We start from the raw sequence: 4,225 nt of genomic DNA on the forward strand, positions 1-4,225 counted from the left end.
CCTGGGACAGCCCTTCTCTTAACAACAGTGAAAACACAAAGGGCAGGTCAAAACAAGCAAGCACACAAGTCACTGCTTGCACCCCACTTCTTAACATTCTACCCACATGCCTGAGCTCCTTCAAGGACATTTTATATACATATCAGCACTATCCAGTGAAGTCAATGAGACCTGCCATTTCTCATAGGAACTCTAGTTTAAAAAAAAAATTTGAGCCTTATTCATAACTAGAAGAGAATGCCTATGCTCTTTGCCAAAATTTAAAAAAAAAACACTAATTCATATATTTGTATATGCATTAAACAACTCAAGTTAATACTTGTAGTTTCTATTATCCTATTTCTAAATAAAATGTAATGCATAAAGTTATTTGCAAAGGAGATAGTTTGAATTTTGTCCTCACTGAACAAAGAGGCAAATCTTAGTTCTGTTCTTTCTTTTCCCAATGTATTCTCTCTCCTTTTCCTCCACATTTATCTCTAAATATAAAAGTATGCAGTTTTACTTTAGTAAGATTTAGAATTAAATCGCCTCTATGACTCACCACTCATGTCTAGCAGAAGATACACAATTTTGGTTAAATCGCTCCCAAAGTAATAAGCCTAAAGTCTTCTTTTCTGGCTTTCAGGAAGCCTAGAGAGAGCTGACCTGCTAATGAAATGACATTTGTGTAATAATCCCTGGGTCTCTTAGGAGTGTTTCCAATAAATGAAATTCAATGGCATTACAAAACGAAAAGTGCTATCACAAGAAAGGATGTTGGGAATTCCAGATGGTGTGTGTGCGTGTGCATGTGTGTGTACTGCATTTGCATAGATAATTGTTGGAGTTTGATGGACAGTTTTACATCTTTTAAAAAGTAATAATGTACAGAAATTACAAGTCAGAAGAGGAGATGAAGGAAAATAGACACTTAGACACTTTCCTGTACCATTAGTAGACATTTCAAAGGATGCAAACATTCTAGGGAAAAATACGACAATGCTTAGTGAACATTAGTATGAATTGTTTTTACCTGATAAGGAGTTTAAAAATTTTAAACTACATGCAGTTTAGAGAAGGTTGAATTTTACTGGCCAGATTAAAATGCATTATATCAAACGGGCAAAACTATTATATTCTAAAATAAGAATATTAATCCCAATAGCTCCAGTTACAATAGACACTCTTTATATACATAACGCTATAGTAGGAATAAGTGTATGCAGGTAAAACAAATAACACTGGAATCCAAGAAAGAGATGCTTTTATAGACTCTGAATTGGAAACAGTATTAAGGTAGAAAATAAGATTGCAGACAACAGGGCTTGGACAGTAAATCAAGGTAATTTACTGACCTTGAATGTACAAAAGCACTTTGAACGTGATACATTCTAGTCAGGGTCAAAATTCTCATTGATCTATACTGCCTCACCTGTTCTGCTAGACACTCTGAAATAGTTACAAACACATTTTTACATGTGCCAAGCTGATTACAGATGAGTGAAACCAAATTGGATGCTATTGCAAGAACATAGTCCCTTTTCAAAGATACAGCTGCTACTCGGAAACAGTGTTTTTGTTGCCATAAAGGAGTAAAGACCCAGTGGGCTAGGTTTTGAGTTTTTCAAGAAAGTATAGAAGAAACAATATTTGCCTTGAACTTCGTGATTTTTTAATGTATTTTATTTTACTTGGGAATTCAGGAACACAAACTCAATTTAGTAATATTACTCAGTATATGATGAACGATTCTAGTCAATTCTATAAGACCCAGTTCTTATTTATAAATTTCATATCTATATTTTATTAGATTTCATTTTAATACAATTTAAGTATTTCATTTTATTTTTCCCTTCATCATCTTCTGGGTACATACACCTTTCTATTCCTTATGTACCTCTCTAATGTTTTGGATATATAGCTGTGGTGTATATTGTTATAAAATACATGAATATTTACCAAATACGCAATGTACTTTTGTGTATTTTTTCAAATTTACTTTAAATGGTAATAAGCTATTAATAATCTTTAGCAAAGTCAACATTATATATTTAATCTACATTAGTATACCTTCGAAGAATCCTATATGTCTTAACCACTTAATATTTCTACTGGTACTGTCATGGACTACCTTGTGTCCTCCCAAAAATATGTGTTGAAATTTTACCCTCCAGAACCTTTGAATGTGACTTTATTTGGAAGTAGGGTTATTACAGACTTAATTAAATTAAGGCAAGATCATTAAGATGGGCCCTAATCCAATATGTTTGATATCTTTTATAAATGGGGGAAATTTGGGCACAAAGACAGAGAAGAACACCACAGGAAGAGAAAGGGAGAGATTGGGGTGACACATCTATAAGCCAAATGCCAAAGATTGCTGGCAAATCACCAAAGCTGGAAGAGAGGCATGGAACAGATCCTCCCTCACAGCCCCCAGAAGGAATCAACCTCACTGACACTTTGATTTCAGACTTCATGGAATGGGTCCAAAGCAACCAGAGTTGCCACTTTCCAACCCAAAAACAAAAATTAAGAAAACGAGTAAAGAAGAAGTAAAGCAATTGAAACAGAAAGAAAGAGAAAATTATGAGGGAGGGAAGGTAGGAGCATGAGAGAACAAGAGTTACTGCCACGTTGGTGTATTTTGTTCAGTACTTCATCGATGCCATGCCCGAACAACTGAAAGAGGTGGCAGTTCTGAGCTCCCTGGTCCATCAAGAGATTCAATGATCTTTAGCGTGTCTCACTTATTAATAAACATTTGTTTTCTTTAAATAAAGAAAAACACTTATTTGATTTCCTGATTTCTCCTGTAGGTCATTTCAATATCAGAGTAAAGGGCAACAATGTGTGGTAATGGCTGAAAACAGGAAGTCCTCCACAATCATGAGGATGAGATGTCAGTTCGTTTGAAAAGAAAGGTGAGTACATTTTCTTCTTCCTCCTCCTTCTCCTCTCCTCCCCCTCCTCTCACTCCCCCTCCTCCTCTTTTATGTCTTTAATTTATGAGACCAGAGAAGGAAGGGACTATGGCGTAGTGAAATTGAATTCTGAGTTAGGACAGGATTTGATTACTAATTAGCCATGTCAACTTGAGTATATTATTTCACCTCTTGGGTTTCATTTTTTGTAGTTGTTCAAAAAATGAAGGGATTGGATTTACAAAATCATACCTACCCCTATGACCCTGAAAATGGGATATTTGAAATATTATTTCATATTTAAGGAAGAAATGGGAAGTCTAAGCAATCCTTATGATCTTGGCTTCTTATTCTGCAAGGTCACCATGGCCCAGGTCTCTAATTTCTGGACCAAAGCCTTGTAAAATAGAAATACTGTGGCTTTTTCATCCTCAGTAACAGTCAAATAGGAACAAAAATTCTTATTTTATTTTGTATGGTTTTGAGAGTCTCACTGTGCCATCCAGACTGGAGTTCAGTGGTGCGATCGCAGCTCACTTCAGCCTCTGCCTCCTGGGTTCGAGCAATTCTAGTGCCTCAGCCTCCCAAGTGGCTGGGACTACAGTTGTGTACCACCATGCCCAGCTAATTTTTGTAAAAAATTCTTAGCTTTATTCTTAAATTTTCCATGTTTTGGGGGACATGGTCTATATTTTCCTCAGACTCTGAAAAATTTTTTTAATGTGCAAAAGTTGCAGTTCCTTTTCTACAGTTTCTTTTAAAATGTGGATCAGTAGTCTCATTGTTTAGAATAAGAGGTGGCCTGGATTTCAGTAGAAATTGCATGTCTTTTTAGATATGCAAAAGTTCCACTAAGTGTATGAAGATTTAAAGGGATGTATGACAGTTTAAAAACTGTTTCCTATGCTGTGTTGGTGGCTAGGTATTAAGATGGTTAATAACAACAATTTAGCTCTCCAAAGATTCTGCATCACAGGTGTTAAAGAGGAAAGGAAACAAACACCCTAGTTCTTGTATTCTTGATAATGATTTGCAATATTGTTTTTAGTATCACTGCAAACCTCTGTAAGTATGATTTTAAAAAGTACTTCTTTAGGTTGGAATTATTTCTATGCATTGGCTTGTCTTCTTGTGTTTCATTAGCCGCACCCATTGTACTTTCTTCCTTACCACTGTTTATCTCAAACTCTTGAGATTAAAGTGCAGGCTCAGGAGGGAGCGAGGAGCTTCAGAACTCTCACGGACTTCCAGAACAGTGTAGCTGCCTTATGGAAAAGTGGCCACACTGTTTTCTACAGTGGTCCCTGCTGCTGCTACTC

General features: G+C 35.9%; 1 pseudogene; it reads left to right on the top strand.

Annotated features, from left to right (window-relative positions):
- The window catches only part of LOC107986665 (plasminogen-like protein B), a 124,780-nt pseudogene extending 121,819 nt beyond the window's left edge, over positions 1–2,961 (top strand).
- The last annotated feature ends 1,264 nt before the right edge of the window (positions 2,962–4,225 follow it).

This window comes from Homo sapiens, chromosome 6, assembly GCF_000001405.40.
Source record: "Homo sapiens chromosome 6, GRCh38.p14 Primary Assembly".
Taxonomy (NCBI): Eukaryota; Metazoa; Chordata; class Mammalia; order Primates; family Hominidae; genus Homo; species Homo sapiens.